The following is a 19,536-nucleotide window of genomic DNA, read 5'->3' as shown; positions in this document are numbered from 1 at the left end:
CCTTCTCTCAGTCCACCCTCTGCTTGGTTACACTGGGTCAGACAGCAGCAGTTTTGGCAGTAAAGAGGCTGGGTTGAGAAAAAAGAGTGGGGAGGGGCTGCCATGGAAGACAGGGGGCTACACAAGGGCTGCAGAGGCCAGCTCCAGAGTTTGGCCAAGAGTGAAAAAGAGCATCTGAGATATCTGGATCAGATCCTAGAGAAGGTGCAGAGGTTTTACGTGGATGGGCACGGGACTGCTTTACGGCCAGGAAAATGGAAAAAGGAGGGATTGATGGAGAAAGGGGGAAGAGGTGCAGCTATTGAAGAAAGATCATCAAAAGGGTCTGAGTCATTTCTATCAAGGGGAACAGAACCTCTCCTTGCCTTCCTGCTCTCAATTACCAATGTATATTAAAGGACTATTACATTTCTTGTTATATATGACGTGTGGGGTGGGGAGAATGAAGAAACTGTAGAGAGAAGGGTCCAGAAAGGGGGAGATCATTGGGCTAAACTCAAGAATGAGTCAGGAAGCAGCTTTGGTAATGGAAGCCAGGACTTTGGCTCCCTCCGGGGCTCCTGGAAACTGATTCCAGGATGGGCTGAGCTATGGGAGTGGTGAGTGATGTTAATGTTAACACAGGAGTAGAAACTTCCTTAGCCCCTGGTTTTCCCAGTCTCCCTCCCTAAAACTCCACAAACTTACCTCAACAGCCCCAGTCTTAAAATTTTTCTTGAGTTCATAAATTTTTTTCCCCAAAGTAGCTATAATCCTAATGTTCCCTTTATTCCTCCTGGGCTCTCTAATGGGACTTAGCAGGGACTTATGATTCCTGCTTCATCTCCCCACCCCATTCCCCAGGCTTGAGATGTAGGAGTATGTGGGTGAAAGTAGGTGAAACCCGATGGGCCATGATCAGGTTCAGACTATGTTTTTGAATGCCTTCAATCTGGAACTTTGCTTCTGATTCACAGTTTCCCTCCTTTGGTAACATTAATTTATTAAACAGATATTTAAGGAGTCTACTATTTGTCAGGCACTGGGAATAGAGTAGAGGCAGCACAGAAAACCTTCTTATCCTTTTGGAGCTTGCATGCAGGATAAGATTCAGGTTCCCCGGTTCCGTCATCCTGTAGGGATGCTAGAACTTATAACCTCAAATTAACTTTTTTCCAATTTATTTTTTCTCTCTTTCAATAACTTTAGTAACCTCAAATTAATTTTTTTTAGATGTATTATTGCTCTGTCACCCAGGCTGGAGTGCAGTGGTGTGATCTCAGCTCACTGTAATCTCTGCCTCCCTGGTTCGAGTGATTCTCCCACCTCAGCCTCCCAAGTAGCTGGGACTACAGGCATGCGCCACCACACCTGGCTAAGTTTTGTATTTTTAGTAGAGATGGGGTTTCACTATGTTGGCCAGGCTGGTCTTGAACTCCTGACCTCAAGTGATCTGCCTGCCTCGGCCTCCCAAAATGTTGGGATTACAGGCGTGAGCCACCATGCCTGGCCTTCAAATTAACTTTTTTCGTTTGTTTGTTTGTTTTTTGAGACGGAGTCTTGCTCTGTCGCCAGGCTGGAGTGCAGTGGCACGATCTCAGCTCACTGCAACCTCAGCCTCCCGGGTTCAAGCAATTCCCCTGCCTCAGACTCCCAAGTAGCTGGGATTACAGGCACACGCCACCACGCCCGGCGAATTTTTTGTATTTTAGTAGAGACGGGGTTTCACTGTGTTGGCCAAAATGGTCTCGATCTCCCAACCTCATGATCCGCCCACCTCGGCCTCCCAAAGTGCTGGGATTACAGGCGTGAGCCACCGTACCTGGCCCAAATTAACTTTTAAAGGAGATTCTTCCTTCATGAAATCACTAGAACTCAAGGTGAGGTTTTCTCTTAAATGTTTACAGCTTTATTTATTTATTTATTTATTTATTTATTTATTTATTTATCTAGAGATGGAGTCTTGGTCTGTGCCAGGCTGGAGTGCAGTGGTGCAGTCTCGGCTCACTGCAACCTCTGCCTCCTGGGTTCAAGCAGTTCTCCTGCCTCATCCTCCTGAGTAGCTGAAATTACAGGCGTGCGCTGCCACGCCTGGCTAACTTTTTTGTATTTTTAGTAGAGACAGCGTTTCTCCATGTTGACCAGGCTAGTCTCGAACTCCCGACCTCAGGTGATCCGCCCACTTCAGCCTCCCAAAGTGCTGGGATTACAGGCGTGAGCCACCGTGCCCAGCATTTACAGCTTTACTTATTTTTTATTTTATTTTATTTTATTTTTTTGAGACAGAGTCTCTGTCGCCCAGGCTGGAGTGCAGTGGCGCGATCTCGGCTCACTGCAAGCTCCGCCTCCCGGGTTCACGCCATTCTCCTGCCTCAACCTCTCCGAGTAGCTGGGACTACAGGCGCCTGCCACCACGCCCGGCTAATTTTTTGTATTTTTAGTAGAGACAGGGTTTTACCGTGGTCTCGATCTCCTGACCTCGTGATCCGCCCGCCTCGGCCTCCCAAAGTGCTGGGATTACAAGCGTGAGCCACCGCGCCCGGCCATTTACAGCTTTATTGACGTACAACTGATATACGTCAATATGTCTCTCCATGTAAAATGCATGTATTTGAAGTATACAATTTGATGTGTTTTCATATGCATATACACCCATAAAACCATTACACAATCGAGATAATGAACATATCCATCACTTCCGAAAGATCCCCGCTTTGTCTCTTTTTAATAATCCTCCCTACCTTCCTCATCCTGCAACTACTGAAAATTCTTAGAAATACAAACTATAGTAACTTTTGATCTAGAGGACTGAACAGAACAACAGCAAAAAAGATCTCAGGACCTGATGAAGACTCAGGTGTTGGAAGGGAGCAGCTGGAATTTAGAACTAGTTGAGTCTGAGTTTAGCTTGAAGCGCTCACCAATTTGGGTAGCAAAGCAGCAAGGAAAGAACCTGAGTGTTAGGAGAGGGTGGCATCTTCCCTAGGGACAAAAACCACAAAGTAACTGGGCCTAGTTCCAGTTCAACTGGCACCTTCAATCTTTGGCCTGGGTAGGGTCTTATGAGGAGGATTATACTGAAGGCTTAAGCTAAATAAAAGGATTTTTCCTATTTATTAAAGCCCTTTTTTGGTGTGCTGATTATAGGTTTAACATGTCTTGTCTCTGCTGCTAGACTGTGAACTCCTGCAAGGCTTTTATGTCCTCAGCACCTAATGATCCCTGATAAGCACTCAAATATTTATTGAACAAATTGCAGCCAACTATAAAATGCTGTGAGTTTCTCAGTATGTAGTGCGGGTACATTTCCCTTAAGTTGGTATTTTCTGGGTCAGGCGCGGCGGCTCACGCCTGTAATCCCAGCACTTTGGGAGGCCAAGGTGAGGCGGGCGCATCACGAGGTCAGGAGTTTGAGACCAGCCTGGCCAATATGGTGAAACCCTGTCTCCACTAAAAATACAAAATTAGCCGGGCGTGGTGACGCAGGCCTGTAATCTCAGCTATTCGGGAGGCTGAGGTAGGAGAATTGCTTGAACCCGGGGGGCGGAGGTTGCAGTGAGCCAAGTCGCGCCACTGCACTCCAGCCTGGGTGACAGAGTGAGACTTGGTCCCCCCCCAAAAAAATAAAAAAATAGGTATTTCCATGGATACAGAAACAGATTTAATTTGGTGCCTGCATGTGAGTGATCAGCTTGGTTGGGATGGGGCCTCTGGAGGGTCCAAGGCTTTGGAGGAAGGAGAGTGGGTAGGCAGTTCAGAGAGGGACAGAAAGATCCCTTTTGTGGGTAAGAAAACCCCTCTGTTCATCTTCAGCTACACCAAAGGTATGGGGGCTCTGGTGGAGGTATTCTGCACGTGTATCTAGGGTAGTTACTGTTAGGTACACTTTGGATTCAGTACCCCAGGCTTTGCCCTAGGGAGGGACAGTTGTCATTTCAAGGAAGACTGCTTTATACTGTCAGATACCTGGTTCACACCGGCTTAGCAGCAGTGTGCCACCACCCCAATCCCATACGTAAGCGTTGAGGGGTCACAGAGGTAGTGAGAATGATGGGATCCAAGGATCTCGTCTCTCCAGATCCACTCACACCAGGAGTTAATCTCTCCAACGTCGAGCTCTGAGTCCCTCCCTCTCTCGCCCGAGCTCCGCCCCCCTTCCCTCTTGGCGGTCCTGGCGGGCTTCCCCTGGAGGGGGCGGCCCCAGCCCGAGCGCTAGGCCGGGCGGAGCTCCGGCCCGGGCGGAGCCGCGGCCGCCGCGTCCGGCTGCTGGACCGAACTTCTGCCGTGCGGACAGCAGGAGCAGCGCCGAGCCCCATTCCCCCACCTCTCCAGCTCGCCCTCTGAGCCTCCCGAGCCCTCTCTCCATTTCCCACAATTGTGCTGGTAAGTCCCGCTCCCCGCACCAAACTTTTTTTTGCTGCCGAGTTTGAGTCCTACGATCGGACCACGAGCTGCACTGTAGTTGGTGTATGGGGGAGGAGGAGAGGGTGAATTACTGAATGCCGACTCCACGGCTTCCCTAAGACGGATCAGCGCTCGCCCATTTCCCGAGTTGGAAGACCTCTCGATTTTAGTTGATTAAACTTATGCAGAGATGGAGATGAGGGTTTGCGCTCCAACTTCGCTACCCCCTCCCCCATTTCTCTGAGCTCTAGCAGTTCCCGATACTTTCCCTCCATCTTTCAAGTATCTTTGGCTCCCTAAAAGCTTGTCCCCTCCCAACTCTGCCGTGGCAAAGCCCCCCTCCACCAGGCACTTCGGGCCCGCCTCCTCCCCGTTGCCCTAGGGACCCCGCGATCTTGGGGGCCATACACTCCCTCCGGGGCTACGCGTCCTGCCAACCGGCCGCAGACGTGTAGCTGCTGGGTCGGCTGTGGAGGGAGGGGCTCAGGCTGGGGCTTGTCCGAAGCCAGGCGGGCGGGGCCGGGAAGGGGAGGTATAGGGGGCCGGACTGGGCGGAGCAGGCGGCATTTGCGGCCGGCGCCAGGGTGGAGAGTTGTGCGCCGGTCCCTGGGCCTGAGCTCCGGCTCCGGCTGGGGCGCCTGCGATGTCTCAAGATGGCGGAGCTGGGCGAATTAAAGGTACCGGCCCCCTCCCCCCATCCCCATCTGGACTCAGCCCGGCGGTACGCCGTGTCCGGGAAGCGACCGAGACTGGGTGCCGGGGCTCGGGTGGGCGCCGACGACGTGGCAGGCACGAGCTGCTGAGGATGGGAGAGAAGTAGCTGAGAGCGAGGAAGGGGCTGCGGCGGGGCTCCGGGGGCGGGGCTGCGGGGCAGATGTAGGGGTGGGGCCGAGGGGAATTGCAGCTGTTGGGGGCTGAGGCGCAGGGGGCGGGGACGAGGGGTAGAAGTCGGATTTAGTAGTAGGGGCGGTTGTTGGGGTAGGGCCAGGGGGAAAAGGTGCTGTAGAGGCACTGGGGGCGAGTCGATCAAGGCCAAGAGATGCAACAGTAGGGGGCACATGCAGGGATGGGACCGCGGGGCAGACGTAGGGGAGGCTCCGGGGGAAAGGCAGCTGAGAGGATAGGGTCTTTGGGGCTACTCTCGGGATCCGAGCTTTGGGAAATACCAGTAGGCTGCTGAGATGCAGGGGGCGGGGCTGTGCGGGCCGATACCTCGAGGGGTGGGGCAGAAGCATCCTGGAGGCTCAGAGGAAGGTCCTGCCGTAGTGAATCGCGGTGTTTGGGAAGAGGCAGAGGCATGTGAAACTATGGGATAGAAAGGTGGGAAGTTATAGGGGAAGCTAATGGAGAAAAAAAGACAGGACAGAGGAGATAAGGATGGGGAGAAAGAGGAGCAAGTTTCTCATCACATTCCATAAAAGGGGTCCAAGACAAAGCCTCCTATGAGAAGAATTGTGTAGGGCTAGCAAGCCCTGCACATGACAGGATCTCCTAGAGATTCACAGAAGGGAGTCTTCTAAGGAGAGCGCTCCCCTCCTGCTACATAGAGTTTGGAGGGTGACCACATCTGAGGACATCTCATAGAACCTCAAACTACCGAGTTCATCCGCCTGCCTCCTGGTTTTCTTCTGCCCTTTGAAATGGGAGCTATGGTCCTGGGAAGGCTGGAGGTCTAGCCACTGGGCCCAGCTACCTTCAGGGGATTTGCGATTCTGTGCCCTGACTCAGAGGCTTTTCCTTCATCCACCCAGGGTCTCTGTTTAGAGCTCTGCCCTCTCCTCTTCCACCCCTATAGGGGGGCGCTGTAAGTTGTAGAGGAGTATTAATTTCTCTGTGTAGGAGAGATGCCAGATTATGGTTCCTGGCAGATAGAGTAAACAGGCAGGATACTTGGACTCAGTGATTCACTGTTAATCTCCCCGACCCAAGTTTTGGTCCTGTTTCCCTTCCAGAAAAATAGGACTAAGTTGTGGGGAGGGGGTGGTTATATAAACGATTCCAAGAAAGGATCTGGGGAAGTTATGAGCATTGAACCCTGACCTGAAAACCCTGGCCACAGAAGCTTCAGAGGCTTGGGGGAAATAGCTGAGGTGAATTAAGGTGGTTGGGAGGGGTGGGCTGAAGGGCACAATCCTCCAGCCACCTAGCCCCTTTCTTCCCGTGGGGCTGTCTGGCTTGAATCCTCTTGTCTCTCCCTCCTTCTCCCTGTCTCCTATCCTGTTCCCAGGAGGCTGGGATGGGTTTGAGAGTCTGAGAAAGGGCAAGAGAGGAGATAAGCAGCTTAAAGCAGAGTCCAGGGATGGAGGCGGGAGGCTGCATGGACTCGGAGGTGTGTCTGAGGGTGGCTTGCTGTCTGCCATTCCCTGCCCCACTCTGGCTGCTTCCAGGCCTGGGGAAATAGTGTTGCTCAAGCTCGGGGGTGGTGGTGATGATGCTGACCTGATGGTTGCTAAAGTGGGACTGAGATGTCCCTTTGGATAGGTCGACTACCTGGCAGTAATCCACTAGCTGCGAAGCATCATCTTTCCCATCAGTGCTGGAGAGAAAGGCACTGCCCACCTGGTAGCTCAGCCCATGTCTTGGCAGGGCAGGCCTGTGCAAGGGAGGATGCTCAAGCTTCTCTGTTTTTCTCCACAGCACATGGTGATGAGTTTCCGGGTGTCTGAGCTCCAGGTGCTTCTTGGCTTTGCTGGCCGGAACAAGAGTGGACGGAAGCACGAGCTCCTGGCCAAGGCTCTGCACCTCCTGAAGTCCAGCTGTGCCCCTAGTGTCCAGATGAAGATCAAAGAGCTTTACCGACGACGCTTTCCCCGGAAGACCCTGGGGCCCTCTGATCTCTCCCTTCTCTCTTTGCCCCCTGGCACCTCTCCTGTAGGCTCCCCTGGTCCTCTAGCTCCCATTCCCCCAACGCTGTTGGCCCCTGGCACCCTGCTGGGCCCCAAGCGTGAGGTGGACATGCACCCCCCTCTGCCCCAGCCTGTGCACCCTGATGTCACCATGAAACCATTGCCCTTCTATGAAGTCTATGGGGAGCTCATCCGGCCCACCACCCTTGGTATGGCTCTTTGTGGTCCCTTAGTCTTCTGGACTCCCTACCTGTTCCCCAAACATTTCTTAGGCTTTAGTCCTATGGGATCAGTGACCTGGGATGGGGGCGATTTCTGTGGCTGCCTGTGCATGGGCTTGGAATAACTGCCCCTTTGTATCCTCAGCATCCACTTCTAGCCAGCGGTTTGAGGAAGCGCACTTTACCTTTGCCCTCACACCCCAGCAAGTGCAGCAGATTCTTACATCCAGGTACATCTCTTCCAGTCTTCCTGCCTCATCCCTGGTCTCTGCTTTCTGACTTTCTTCTCTTCTGCCCTGTGCTCTTCCCTATCCCTCCTCCTATACCTACTTGTCTCTTGTTCTTCTGTGTGTCTCTTCTCTATCTCCTGGACATCTGACTTTCAGCCTTTCTGTGCATTCACCCTTGCCCTCTGGGGGCTACATGCTGACATCTCTTCATCTCCCTCCCTGTTACAGAGAGGTTCTGCCAGGAGCCAAATGTGATTATACCATACAGGTGCAGCTAAGGTGAGTTCATCCTCCCTGCCTATCCTGGGTACCCACTGGGGGTAGGAGTGAAGTAGGGGTATGACAGATACCCTTACGAGATGTCCCTGCTCTGCCACTGCCTACTGCAGCCCTGCGACTCTTGTTGGATGCTGAGGGCTTCAGGCATCTATGACTGATTTTCTGGGGTTCCCTGTCTCTCTGCCAGATTCAAGTTAAGAAATTTCTTCCCACTCTTTCTTCCTTTCTCATCTCTTACCAGGTTCTGTCTCTGTGAGACCAGCTGCCCCCAGGAAGATTATTTTCCCCCCAACCTCTTTGTCAAGGTCAATGGGAAACTGTGCCCCCTGCCGGTAAATGCTCTCCCCTTCTTCTGTCAGTAATCCCTTACCGTTTCAGTTCATAAATATTAACTACAAACCTATTCTGAAAGAGACATGCCTAGCACAGTGCGTGGCACATAGTAGGTGCTCAGTTTACTGACTGAATCAATAGAATCTCGAGAGTATTAAGATAGGGCTGAACAAAGGTTTTGTGAGAACTCGGAGGAGGACATTAGTTCAACCCGAGATGTAAGAAAGACTTCTTTTTTGTTTTTTTTTTTTGAGACAGAGTCACTCGCTCTGTCACTCAGGCTGGAGTGCAATGGTGCAATCTCTGCTCACTGCAACCTCTGCCTCCCTAGTTCAAGCAATTCTCTTGCCTCAGCCTCCCAAGTAGCTGGGATTACAGGTGCCCACCACCCTGCCCGGCTAATTTTTGTATTTTTAGTAGAGACGGAGTTTTACCATGTTAGCTAGGCTGGTCTCGAACTCCTGACCTCAGGTGATCCACCCACCTCGGCTTCCTAAAGTGCTGGGATTACAGGCATGAGCCAGTACACCCGGCCAGAAAGACTTGACCCCAGAGCTGAGAGTTAGAAAAGGTGAGGCATCCTTATTCCTCCTCCTCAGGGACTCAGTGAGTTCCTTTTTTCTCAGTCAATAAATAAGCTCTCCTTTCTCCCCAGGAGTGAACCCCACACATAACCCTAGACAGTGCTCCAGTTTTGTGAGCCACTGAATGGGCCTCCATCCCCTTGGTCAGTGAGTGAGCGAGTTGGCCTTCCCTCCAGGGATTGAATAACCCGAGACAAGATATCTTTTGTTCAAAGAGCAGAGCCCCTTCCCAGAGCCACTTCTCCACTGACCAATCCCTCCCTTCTCCAGGGTTACCTTCCCCCAACCAAGAATGGGGCCGAGCCCAAGAGGCCCAGCCGCCCCATCAACATCACACCCCTGGCTCGACTCTCAGCCACTGTTCCCAACACCATTGTGGTCAATTGGTCATCTGAGTTCGGACGGGTGAGCACAGCTAAAGCAGGTGCCTGGAAAAGCCTGCTGAGGGTGAAGGGGAACCATCCAGTGTCCTGGGTTGGGGAAGCATTTTCCTCTTTATGAGTCTGTCTCTGGTCCTCATGGAACAAAAGTGGGCAGTGGTGGTATGAGAAGCAGAGGCTAATTGTCTACCCCCTGCCTCCAAGTAGAATTACTCCTTGTCTGTGTACCTGGTGAGGCAGTTGACTGCAGGAACCCTTCTACAAAAACTCAGAGCAAAGGGTATCCGGAACCCAGACCACTCGCGGGCACTGAGTGAGTAACATCTTTCCTCTCTTCCCCACCTGATCTGGATTCAAGTCTTCCTGGCCCTCCAGCCTTCATAATTAAACCCATACCTCTTTTTTGACAACTTACTCCCCTTCTCACATGAACCCCAACCCTCCCCCTCTACCCCTGACCAGTCTTCCAGTCTTTATAGTTGAAGTTGGACCACTCCCAGGCACCCTTGAATTTCCAATCATGTATCTGCTTTGCACCTCACAGTCCCTAACTCCAGCCCTGCTAGAATATGGGCTCTCCGGACTGGAAAGAATCTTAGGGGTCCTCTAATCTAACCCTCACATGATGCTTCAACTCCTCCAGATCATCTCTAACATAGCCAGAGTGTCACGCTATGTTTAAGCATCTTCAGGGATGGGAAAATCCCCCACACCCAGCCTTCATCATCCATATCCCAGACCACTTCCATGTGACGTCCCACTGGCCCCCAAAGACGCTCCACCCAGCAGCCTCTCAGCCAGAGCCATCTGTTCCTGGCCTTACCAACTCCTGGGCTTCCTCCAGCCTTGCTGACCCCATGGCTCTGGCCTCACTTTTGTTTCAGTCAAGGAGAAATTGACTGCTGACCCTGACAGTGAGGTGGCCACTACAAGTCTCCGGGTGTCACTCATGTGCCCGGTGGGTAAAAGGGGAGAAGGGAACAGGGTGGGAAGGGAGTTGGGTTTAGCCTGTGGACTTTGATGAGGGTTCCTAGGGATACTGGCGTGAAGTTTTCTGGGATGAAATCAGAGTAGGGCCTCTGACAAGAGAACTTGCTTCTCCTCAGCTAGGGAAGATGCGCCTGACTGTCCCTTGTCGTGCCCTCACCTGCGCCCACCTGCAGAGCTTCGATGCTGCCCTTTATCTACAGATGAATGAGAAGAAGCCTACATGGACATGTCCTGTGTGTGACAAGAAGGCTCCCTATGAATCTCTTATCATTGATGGGTAGGGCCATTTTGCTTCCTCTTACCTAGGACATCCACTAGAACCTCTTTTCTTGGTTATTTCTTTTTCTTTTTCTTTTCTTTTTTTTTTTTTTGAGATGGAATCTTACTCTGTTCCCCAGGCTGGAGTGCAGTGGCACAATCTTGGCTCACTGCAACCTCCACCTCCCGGGTTCAGGCGATACTCCTGCCTCAGCCTCCTGAGTAGCTGGGATTACAGGCACCCACCACCATGCCTGGCTAATTTTTGTATTTTTAGTAAAGACTGGGTTTCACCATGTTGGCCAGGCTGGTCTTGAACTCCTGACCTCAGGTGATCTGCCCACTTCAGCCTCCTAAAGTGCTGGGATTACAGGCATGAGACAACATGCCCAGCCTATAATATTTCTTTTTTCTTTTAGCCACCACCTCCTTCAGGGTTTTTAATTCATATGGCTTACTTCCCCTCACATGAACTGCAATTCTCACCTTATCTATCCCTTTTACCAGTCTGTGTGTGTGTGTGTGTATGTGCATGTGTGTGGAGGGGGAGGGCAACATTAAGGACTTAGTATATACAAGGCATCTTGCTGAGCACTTTGCATGAGTTATCTCATTGAATCCTCACAATAACCCTATGGACTCGGCTCCTACCTGTAATTCCAACACTGGAAGGCTGAGATGGGAAGATCATTTGAGGCTAGGAGTTTGAGACCAGCCTGGGCAACATAGTAGACCCTCTCTCTATAAAAAATTAAAAAAATTAGCCAGGCATGTTATAATAGCTCATGACTGTAGTCTTAGCTGCTCAGGAGGCTGAGGCAGGAGGATGGCTTGAACCCAGGAGTTTGAGGCTGCAGTGAGCTATGATTGCATTACTGCACCCCAGCCTGGGCAACAGATTGAGACCCTGTCTCAAAAAAAGAAATAATCCTATGATTGGCTAGTGACACTCACCCAGAAAAAAAAAAAGAAAAAAAAAAACCCTATGAGATAGGTAGTATCATTACACATGAGGAAACTGAGGCCGAGAGAGATTGAGCCTTGCTCAAGGTTATATTGTTAAGTGGCAGAGCCAGTGTACTGAACTGTCATAATATATCACCTATAACAACTACCTGACTTCCCACTGAGCATTGCAATAAGGTTCTTTTCAGGGCCTGGATGTTCTAATCTTTTGATCTTGCTAGTCTTAACCTCTTTTTGGAATCTACATTATGGTTCCTGTTCCCAGTGCTCCCCCACTTTTTGTTTGTTTGTTTGTTTTTGAGACAGGGTCTCGTTCTGTTGCCCAGACTGGAGTATAGTAGCACAATCATAGCTCACTGCAGCCTCGACCTCCTGGCCTCAAGTGATCCTCCCACCTTGGCCTCCCAAAGTGCTAGGATTGCAGGCATGAGCTACCATGCCTGGCCCCTAGTGCCTTTATTTATTTATTTTTACACAAGTGTTTAGAAAGCCAAAGACCCAGTGCCTTTTGGAGATGGTTTATGGACTTCTGTGTCTCTGCTCCTTTTGTTCCTTATACTACACGTAAGTGCTCAGATTTTTTTTTTTTTTTTTTTTGAGACGGTGTTTCACTCTGTCACCCAGGCTGGAGTGGTATGGCACAGTCTCGTGATCTCAGCTCATGCAACCTCTGCCTCCTGGGTTCAAGCAATTCTCCTGCCTCAGCCTCCTGAGTAGCTGGGATTACAGGCATGTGCCGCCACATCCGGCTAATTTTGTATTTTTGGTAGAGATGGGGTTTCACCATGTTGGCCAGGCTGGTCTCGAACTCCTGACCTCAGGTGATCCACCCACCTCAGTCTCTGAAAGTGTGATTATAGGCGTGAGCCACCACGCCGGCTTTTTTTTTTTTTTTTTTTTTGAGGCAGAGCCTTGCTCTGTTTCCCAGGGTGGAGAACAGTGGTGTGGTCTAGGCTCACTGCAACCTCTGCCTCCTGGGTTCAAGCGATTCTCGTGCCTCAGCCTCCTAAGTAGCTGGGATTATAGGCATGTGCCACCACACCTGGCTAATTTTTGTATTTTTAGTAGAGATGAGGTTTCACCATGTTGGCCAGGCTGGTCTTGAACTCCCAGCCTCAAGTGATTCACCTGCCTGTACCTCCCAAAGTGCTGGGATTAAAGGCGTGAGCCACTGCACCCAGCCTCAGATTGTATTTATTTTAAAACCTATTACTTACTTTGCAAAGCTCTTTTACATACCTTGTGTTATTTGATTCCAACAACTCAGAGCGGTCCAGTAGGATGGATAATGTTCTTATTTTACAGATGAGGAAACTGAGATACAGGAAGGTGAGTTACAGAACTCTGGCTACTGTTCTGCTCATCTCCCAGCCCCGTGAATTTTCATCTCTCTCTTCCCCCAGTTTATTTATGGAGATTCTTAGTTCCTGTTCAGATTGTGATGAGATCCAATTCATGGAAGATGGATCCTGGTGCCCAATGAAACCCAAGAAGGAGGCATCTGAGGTTTGCCCCCCGCCAGGGTATGGGCTGGATGGTGAGTGACCCCCTGTTCCCCAGCTAAGCTAAATCTTGGATGGCCTCTTCTCTGAGACGTAGTCTTCTTAATACCCACAGGCCTCCAGTACAGCCCAGTCCAGGGGGGAGATCCATCAGAGAATAAGAAGAAGGTCGAAGTTATTGACTTGACAATAGAAAGCTCATCAGATGAGGAGGATCTGCCCCCTACCAAGAAGCACTGTTCTGTCACCTCAGCTGCCATCCCGGCCCTACCTGGAAGCAAAGGGTATGAGAAAATAGGCTGAGTCTACAGCAAAACGGACAGGGGAAGAAGTCAGGATTGCTTTCTGATCATTGGACAAAGCCTGGGGCAAGAGAAATGTGGAGGGGACAGAGAGGGAACCTGGGGACCTGAGCTGGGTGAGGGCATCTGTGGTTTGCTGGCTGCCTCAGCTCCTCTCTACCCACAGAGTCCTGACATCTGGCCACCAGCCATCCTCGGTGCTAAGGAGCCCTGCTATGGGCACGTTGGGTGGGGATTTCCTGTCCAGTCTCCCACTACATGAGTACCCACCTGCCTTCCCACTGGGAGCCGACATCCAAGGTATGACATGGGTCATAAGATGGACCCTGCACTGCCACACCCTCCCCAGAGCTACATCAGAACCCCTGTTCCTTCTCAAAGCCTCCTGCTTCTCCTGCAAGGGGCCACAGTCCACAGTGCTTTGTCTTTTGGTGGTAAAGGGGTCAGATAGGAGGTTAATTTTGATTTTTCTTTTCCTGCCAGGTTTAGATTTATTTTCATTTCTTCAGACAGAGAGTCAGGTAAGTGGTTCTTTCTTCAGAAGGTCTCAGATCTCTGAAGCTTCCTTTCTAGACACTGATGGGGCCCCTCCCTCTCTTATGATCTCTGGGGATGTAAATCTGCTTTCCCGTGAGGGCAGTGGGGTGTAGGTATCTTATTATCTCCTCAGCCCCACTGGTAGTTCCTGAGATTCCTACTTAGGCCTCCTTCCTAGATCCCCTGTTACTTTTCTGCCCTGGCCTACTCACCCCTACCCCCGTGTGCACTTAGAGCACCATGCCTGCTCTAACCGGACATTCCACACATTTCAGACGCCCACAAAGCCAAGAACCTAACAAGTTGGAGGAGCTCTCTCAAGGCAGGGAAAGGGGAAGGGTGTAGGGAAGTAGGGGAAAGAGGGAGAGGCTCTCCTGCTTCTCAAGAGAATACCTTCGGATCCACAGGGGTTGATTGCTCTCATACGGCATTTCTGAGATGAGTGACTGGGAGGTGGGGAAGTCGGGATTGAGATCTTAAACTATGCCCTTGATTCTTCCTAGCACTATGGCCCCTCTGTCATCACCTCACTAGATGAACAGGATGCCCTTGGCCACTTCTTCCAGTACCGAGGGACCCCTTCTCACTTTCTGGGCCCACTGGCCCCCACGCTGGGGAGCTCCCACTGCAGCGCCACTCCGGCGCCCCCTCCTGGCCGTGTCAGCAGCATTGTGGCCCCTGGGGGGGCCTTGAGGGAGGGGCATGGAGGACCCCTGCCCTCAGGTCCCTCTTTGACTGGCTGTCGGTCAGACATCATTTCCCTGGACTGAGTTCCCTGGATTATGGAAACTTCGCTGTCCCCCAACACTGAGCAAGTATGCTGTGGAGTCCCAACCCCAGCTACTCTGATCCCTCTGGGGGCTCTGGCCAAGGGCCAGACAGACCTTCACAGATGCCTACTTTTGGCCTCATCTCTGCCTGACAAGGCCAGCACCCAAAGGGTTAATATTTAACCTCTTTTTAAGGACACTGGGGTCTGTTTCTGGAAATGTTCTTTAGATGGTGGCACATTCCTTTGGGTATGTTAACCTAGGCAGTGGGAGGCAAATGGGATGGTATGTGAGCTAGGAGAAGGGCTGAACCCTCAGCCTTGACTATGTCTAGAGCCTCTTGGGGAAGGGGCACCTCTCTTGAACCCCAAATGCTCTCTCTTCTTATTACCCAAACCCATGGCTCTATTTCTTCTTCACATCCATTGTCTCTTCATGTCTATTCCATTCCCTTCGGCCAAACAGACAGGTGGAAAAACTGAGACAGGCAGTTTCAGAGATGGACAGAGAACTTTATTTTGGATTGTGGATGTGGACTTTTTTGTACATAAATAAGAAAAACCAAAATACTCCAAAGATGACTTCCCCTGCCTCCTACTCCAGTATGACAGAGGAGGATGTAAGGCCTTAGCCATGATCTGCAGGGGTCTGGGAGTCAGGCCCGGCCTATTGCTTGGGTCTCTCTCTATTTATATATCTAAGTTCACAGTGTTTCTTATTCCCCCCTAAGCTTCTAGAGGCTCATGGCCCTGTAGTTAGGCCTGGCTCATTCTGCACCTTTCCAGGGAGGTGGAAGGACCCTGTGCCCTCCTTCCCAATCTTCTTTTTCAGGCTCGCCAAGGCCTAGGACCTATGTTGTAATTTTACTTTTTATTTCTAAAGTTGTAGTGAAGCTCTCACCCATAATAAAGGTTGTGAATGTTCTGTGAGTGTCATGGAGATGGGCTAGGGAGGGGATTTTACACTTCACTTTCCAGACCCCTGGTTTGGGGGAAGAGGGTCCATGTTCCATTCTTCCTTTGCTGGCCCTGGGTCCAGGTAAGCTGCACTTTTACACGGTGGGGGTGTTCTGTGGAGGAATTCCAAGAGAGGTTGTCCTTTCCTGCTTTCCCCCGTGCCTGTAAAAACTAGACCATTCCAGCCCAGTACTGTGGAGCTCTCCAGTCCTTTTTCACTTTTACCTGCCCAGATGTTGCAGCCAGAGCTTGAGGGCAAACTTGGTTCCAGTGCTGACTCTCTCTTTGTCCTCTGCCATGGTTGGGATCATCCGCAGGAGGGTGGACATGTGCAGGACCAGAGGTCGGGCTCTTCCATCCTCCTCTAGTTCCACTGCACTGCATGGTGACAACTCCTGTTGGGGCTGTGCCTTGTAGCTTACAAAGAACTTACATATATGTTAGGTCCCCGAATCCTCCCAACTACCACAGGAGGTGGGTGGGTGTTGACCTCATTTGCAGAAAGGAAACAGGTTCAAGGAGGGTTAAATGACTTGCCCCTGTGTTAGAACTGACACTTAGACCTTCAATGCTAGCCAGTTAGAGCAAGAATCTTTGGGGTTTGATGGTCAGTGTCTTAGATTTCATGTACCTTCTTAATTATCAGCTGACCCACTCTCCTTAAATCTCCCCCACAACACAAAATTCCATCCTGAGGACAGGATAGACGCTGAACTTCTCAACATGAATATGTTGGTGTATTAGAGGCTGAGGGAGAAGCTCTTACTTACAGGACAGAGGGTGGTAGGTCCTGGGGGAGAAGTCCGGGTGTCTCTGTCCCATCCTCTGCGGCAGCCACTGCAGCAGCTACATCTGGTGTCAGCCACATAAGGGCGCTCACCTCATTTGGGTTTGGTTGGATCCGGGCCTGGGGTCAGACATGGTGACCCCTCAGTCATTGCCTCTCCCTGGGCTGCCTGTTCGTGATCAAAACCTACCCGCAGGTTTCATGGAGAAAGGCAGGAGCAAGGGGAAAGGGCATTGCATATTCTTCGTTATCTCTGACTACCCCCGCCACCCCCGCCCAGCTCCTAATCACAGTCAGAACCAGGTTGCTTGGGCTCCCCTGAGCCCTGTTTCCTTCCCTCACTGCCAGCCCTACCTGCAACTGCTGCTGTGATTCCTGGGAGATCACGAGTAGATACAGAACAATGTGATGGTATTTGGGTAAACCCCAGCTCAGCCTAGGAGGGTAGGCAGACTAGGAAAAGAAAACAGCAAAAGTGAGAACTTTCCGTCACTTTTTTTTTTTTTTTAAGATGGAGTTTCGCTCTTGTCGCCCAGGCTGGCATGCAATGGCGTGATCTTGGCTCACTGCAACCTCTGCCTCCTGGGTTCAAGCAATTCTCCAGCCTCAGCCTCCAGAGTAGCTGGGATTACAGGCGCCTGCCGCCACGCCCAGCTAAAATTTTTGTATTTTTAGTAGAGACGGGGTTTCGCCATGTTGTCCAGGCTGGTCTCAAACTTCTGACCTCAGGTGATCCGCCCACCTCAGCCTCCCAAAGTGTTGGGATTACAGGCGTGAGCCACCGCACCCGGCCCTTTGTGTCACTTTTTGAGACTTTGTTAATACAGCTTTAGGGTGAAACAAAATGGTGGCCAAAAGCTGAGGGCGTGGATGGTACAGATGACACAGCAGGGACATGGGTGAGGGTTATGGATTTGGGGATTCCAGCCCACTTATGTGCTATTGTTTCCCTTGTAGCCAAGGCAGGTAGGGGCTGATCTATGGAGGAGCTTCTCCCAGCTACTTGTCTCACCTCCCATAAACCCAGAGGGACCCAAGAGAACTGGCCCTGGGGCAGGTGTAGTCCACTCTCCTCCCAAAGTTCTCGAAGCCCTCCGTCCAGCAGCTGGGAGTCAGAGAAGACACATCAGAGGGGCCAGTGCCTGACTCTTCCAAGTCCTTTTGCTTGCCTCTCCCTCAGCCCACACCCAAGATGGTCCCAGGCATGGGTCTCTTGGCTCAGGTTGGATCAGCTGACTGGTTACCTCCTCCTCAAGTTCCACGTGCCCACCTGCAACAACAGTGGGGCCAGTAGGTGAATGGTGGTGGTCTTGGCCAGGGAGCCCCCACTCACTGTTGACACTCCTCTCCCCTCCAGTGGACACAGAGGGAGTTGCAGTCCCTTGTGACTATGAACATGCCACATTTTGGGGCCCACTTTATCCTTCTGAGACTGGGAAAAACATTGTTGCGGGGAAAGGGCAAATTTCTTCTCTGTACTTGGGGCCTTGTCCCCAGAATACTCACCCGGGGGTACCCAGAGGTTGGGGGAAACGCTCAGGGTGCGTGCCCTTCGGGTTAGCAAGACAGTCTTGTCGCTGGACTGCAGAATGACGGCCACACCCAGGTCCACACCTCGATCTGTGGGCAGCTCAGCCCCAGGGACCCTGGGCCGCTCCTCCAGGGCCGCAAAAGGGCAGAAAGGGGGTCGCTGGCAGAAGGAAGCCAGCTGGGTTAAGGCTTCAGAAGGGCGGCACTGGGTGGGCGTGACTTCCAAAAATGGGGCTACACCGCGCGTTGGGGGCGGGGTCCTCGCCGCCAGTTCCCACCCGATTTCAGTCCCCATCTTTGGCCCTTCACTGCCCCCGCTCTGGGGCCCCCTTCTGCCGACCTGGAGCGGAAGCCTAGCGGAGGCGCCTGGGAAGGGCCTGCTCGAGAGGACAAGCCGTCCTCGCTTCAAGCTGCAGTGAATGGGCCACGTCCCGAGCCCTGGTCCGGCTCCCAGGAGGCCACACACACTCCGTGCGAAGCTCACCGACTCCGGACGCCGGGACAGGAGCAGCTGCACCCGCACCTCGGCCATAACGCGACTCTGGAGTCGCTGCGGCCCGCCTGGCGCCCTCTGGTGGCCTAGAGAAGCTTCCCCTCGGAACGTTCCGCGGGGTCGTAGCGGGGTTTCCGAAAGTCCCCGGGGAAATAAGGGCACATCTTTTGAGGATGACCCATGGGTATAATATTAAACCACAAAGAAGAATACCTCTAAATGCTCAGCTCCTATTCCTTCCTATCTTCTCTGTTTAGGACAATGACCCCCAGACCGAATGACTTCAGGACCCACATGTTACTTCCAACCAGCCCTAAGCTGAACTGTAAGCATCCTCTACAGCACTATGCACACCTGTTACAGCAGGCATCACTTCGAATTAATTATCTCCAAGCGAAACACACCAAATAACATTTTCGATACCACTTCTCCTTTCACTTCACTCAAATGGCAACCAAGTATGCAGATGCTATCTCCTTAAACTTCCTCAAACCCATGTTCTCTCCAGCCTTCATTCATTGCCCTAGTTTAAGCCTTCCTCGTATTTTGCCTGAAATATTATTGCAAGTCTCCAAATAGTCTTGCCCCTACCAGTTCATTCTCTACAGTGCTGCCAGAGTGATGTTTTGTTTTGAGAGTCTCACTCTACAGCCCAGACAGGAGTGCACTGGTGTGATCCCAGCTCACTGCAACCTCCATCTCCCAGGTTGAAGCGATTCTCGTGCTTTAGCTTCCGAAGTAGTAGCTGGGATTACAGGGCGCCCACCACCACGCGCGGCCTTTTTTTTTTTTTGAGACGGAGTCTCGCTCTGTCACCCAGGCTGGAGTGCAGTGGCGCCATCTCAGCTCACTGCAACCTCCACCTCCCTGGTTCAAGCGCTTCTCCCGTCTCAGCCTCCTGAGTAGCTGTGATTACAGATGTGCACTACCCACACCTGGCTAATTTTTAAATTTTTTTGTAACGATGAAATCTCACTGTTGCCCAGGCTGTTCTTGAACTCCTGGCTTCAACTGATCCTCCCAGTGTGTTGGGATTACAGGATTTAGGCACCATCAAAATTATCTTCTAGCTGTTTTGAAATGTACAGTAAATTAATAACTATGCCACCCTGATCTATCCAACACCAGTCTTACTTCTTCAAACTGTATTATCTGTGCCCACTAATCAACCTCTCTTCATCCTCCCCAT

At 51.5% G+C, this 19,536-nt stretch overlaps 2 protein-coding genes and 1 non-coding gene across 7 annotated transcripts, besides 6 other annotated features; 2 read left to right on the top strand and 1 right to left on the bottom strand.

Moving 5' to 3' along the window:
• Window positions 4,140-4,349: a silencer, noted in NCBI's record as "silent region_1265". NCBI's record gives its function as "represses an Ori minimal core promoter by ATAC-STARR-seq in GM12878 lymphoblastoid cells {active_cell/tissue: GM12878}" and the evidence as "EXISTENCE:reporter gene assay evidence [ECO:0000049][PMID:35858748]".
• Window positions 4,820-4,909: a silencer, noted in NCBI's record as "silent region_1264". NCBI's record gives its function as "represses an Ori minimal core promoter by ATAC-STARR-seq in GM12878 lymphoblastoid cells {active_cell/tissue: GM12878}" and the evidence as "EXISTENCE:reporter gene assay evidence [ECO:0000049][PMID:35858748]".
• Window positions 4,946-15,505, top strand: PIAS3 (protein inhibitor of activated STAT 3). Its single transcript, NM_006099.3, has 14 exons — window positions 4,946-5,060; window positions 7,021-7,438; window positions 7,596-7,680; window positions 7,909-7,959; window positions 8,201-8,291; window positions 9,147-9,281; window positions 9,464-9,569; window positions 10,141-10,214; window positions 10,363-10,523; window positions 12,874-13,007; window positions 13,088-13,256; window positions 13,441-13,574; window positions 13,758-13,795; window positions 14,315-15,505. The coding sequence occupies exons 1-14, from the start codon at window positions 5,037-5,039 to the stop codon at window positions 14,579-14,581; spliced, it is 1,887 nt and encodes a 628-aa protein (NP_006090.2). The 5' UTR covers window positions 4,946-5,036; the 3' UTR covers window positions 14,582-15,505.
• Window positions 13,147-14,346: an enhancer, noted in NCBI's record as "CDK7 strongly-dependent group 2 enhancer chr1:145584188-145585387 (GRCh37/hg19 assembly coordinates)". NCBI's record gives its function as "activates an origin of replication core promoter dependent on BRD2, BRD4, P300/CBP, MED14 and CDK7 cofactors, with strong dependence on CDK7, by STARR-seq in HCT116 cells {active_cell/tissue: HCT116}" and the evidence as "EXISTENCE:reporter gene assay evidence [ECO:0000049][PMID:35650434]".
• Window positions 13,382-13,440, top strand: MIR6736 (microRNA 6736). Its single transcript, NR_106794.1, has one exon. It is a non-coding gene; the product is annotated as a microRNA 6736 (primary transcript).
• Window positions 15,073-18,397, bottom strand: NUDT17 (nudix hydrolase 17). 5 transcript variants are annotated; one of them, NM_001012758.3, is made up of 8 exons: window positions 18,195-18,397; window positions 17,831-18,014; window positions 17,569-17,594; window positions 17,337-17,429; window positions 16,679-16,777; window positions 16,308-16,444; window positions 15,763-15,915; window positions 15,073-15,650 (listed from the first exon to the last, which is right to left on the bottom strand). In NM_001012758.3, exons 1-8 carry the CDS (start codon window positions 18,384-18,386, stop codon window positions 15,548-15,550), a joined length of 987 nt encoding a protein of 328 aa, NP_001012776.1. In that variant the 5' UTR covers window positions 18,387-18,397; the 3' UTR covers window positions 15,073-15,547. The 5 variants fall into 5 exon arrangements, 4 of the variants coding, with proteins under 4 accessions (NP_001012776.1, XP_011507562.1, XP_047304603.1 ...); XM_047448647.1 differs by lacking the exon at window positions 15,073-15,650 and having other exon boundaries at window positions 15,788-15,932; XM_011509260.3 differs by lacking the exons at window positions 17,569-17,594; window positions 17,831-18,014.
• Window positions 17,734-17,993: an enhancer, noted in NCBI's record as "active region_1614". NCBI's record gives its function as "activates an Ori minimal core promoter by ATAC-STARR-seq in GM12878 lymphoblastoid cells {active_cell/tissue: GM12878}" and the evidence as "EXISTENCE:reporter gene assay evidence [ECO:0000049][PMID:35858748]".
• Window positions 18,044-18,413: an enhancer, noted in NCBI's record as "active region_1613". NCBI's record gives its function as "activates an Ori minimal core promoter by ATAC-STARR-seq in GM12878 lymphoblastoid cells {active_cell/tissue: GM12878}" and the evidence as "EXISTENCE:reporter gene assay evidence [ECO:0000049][PMID:35858748]".
• Window positions 19,194-19,323: an enhancer, noted in NCBI's record as "active region_1612". NCBI's record gives its function as "activates an Ori minimal core promoter by ATAC-STARR-seq in GM12878 lymphoblastoid cells {active_cell/tissue: GM12878}" and the evidence as "EXISTENCE:reporter gene assay evidence [ECO:0000049][PMID:35858748]".

This window comes from Homo sapiens, chromosome 1 (assembly GCF_000001405.40).
Source record: "Homo sapiens chromosome 1, GRCh38.p14 Primary Assembly".
Lineage (NCBI taxonomy): Eukaryota > Metazoa > Chordata > Mammalia > Primates > Hominidae > Homo > Homo sapiens.
This window is presented reverse-complemented; position numbering and strand designations above follow the sequence as displayed.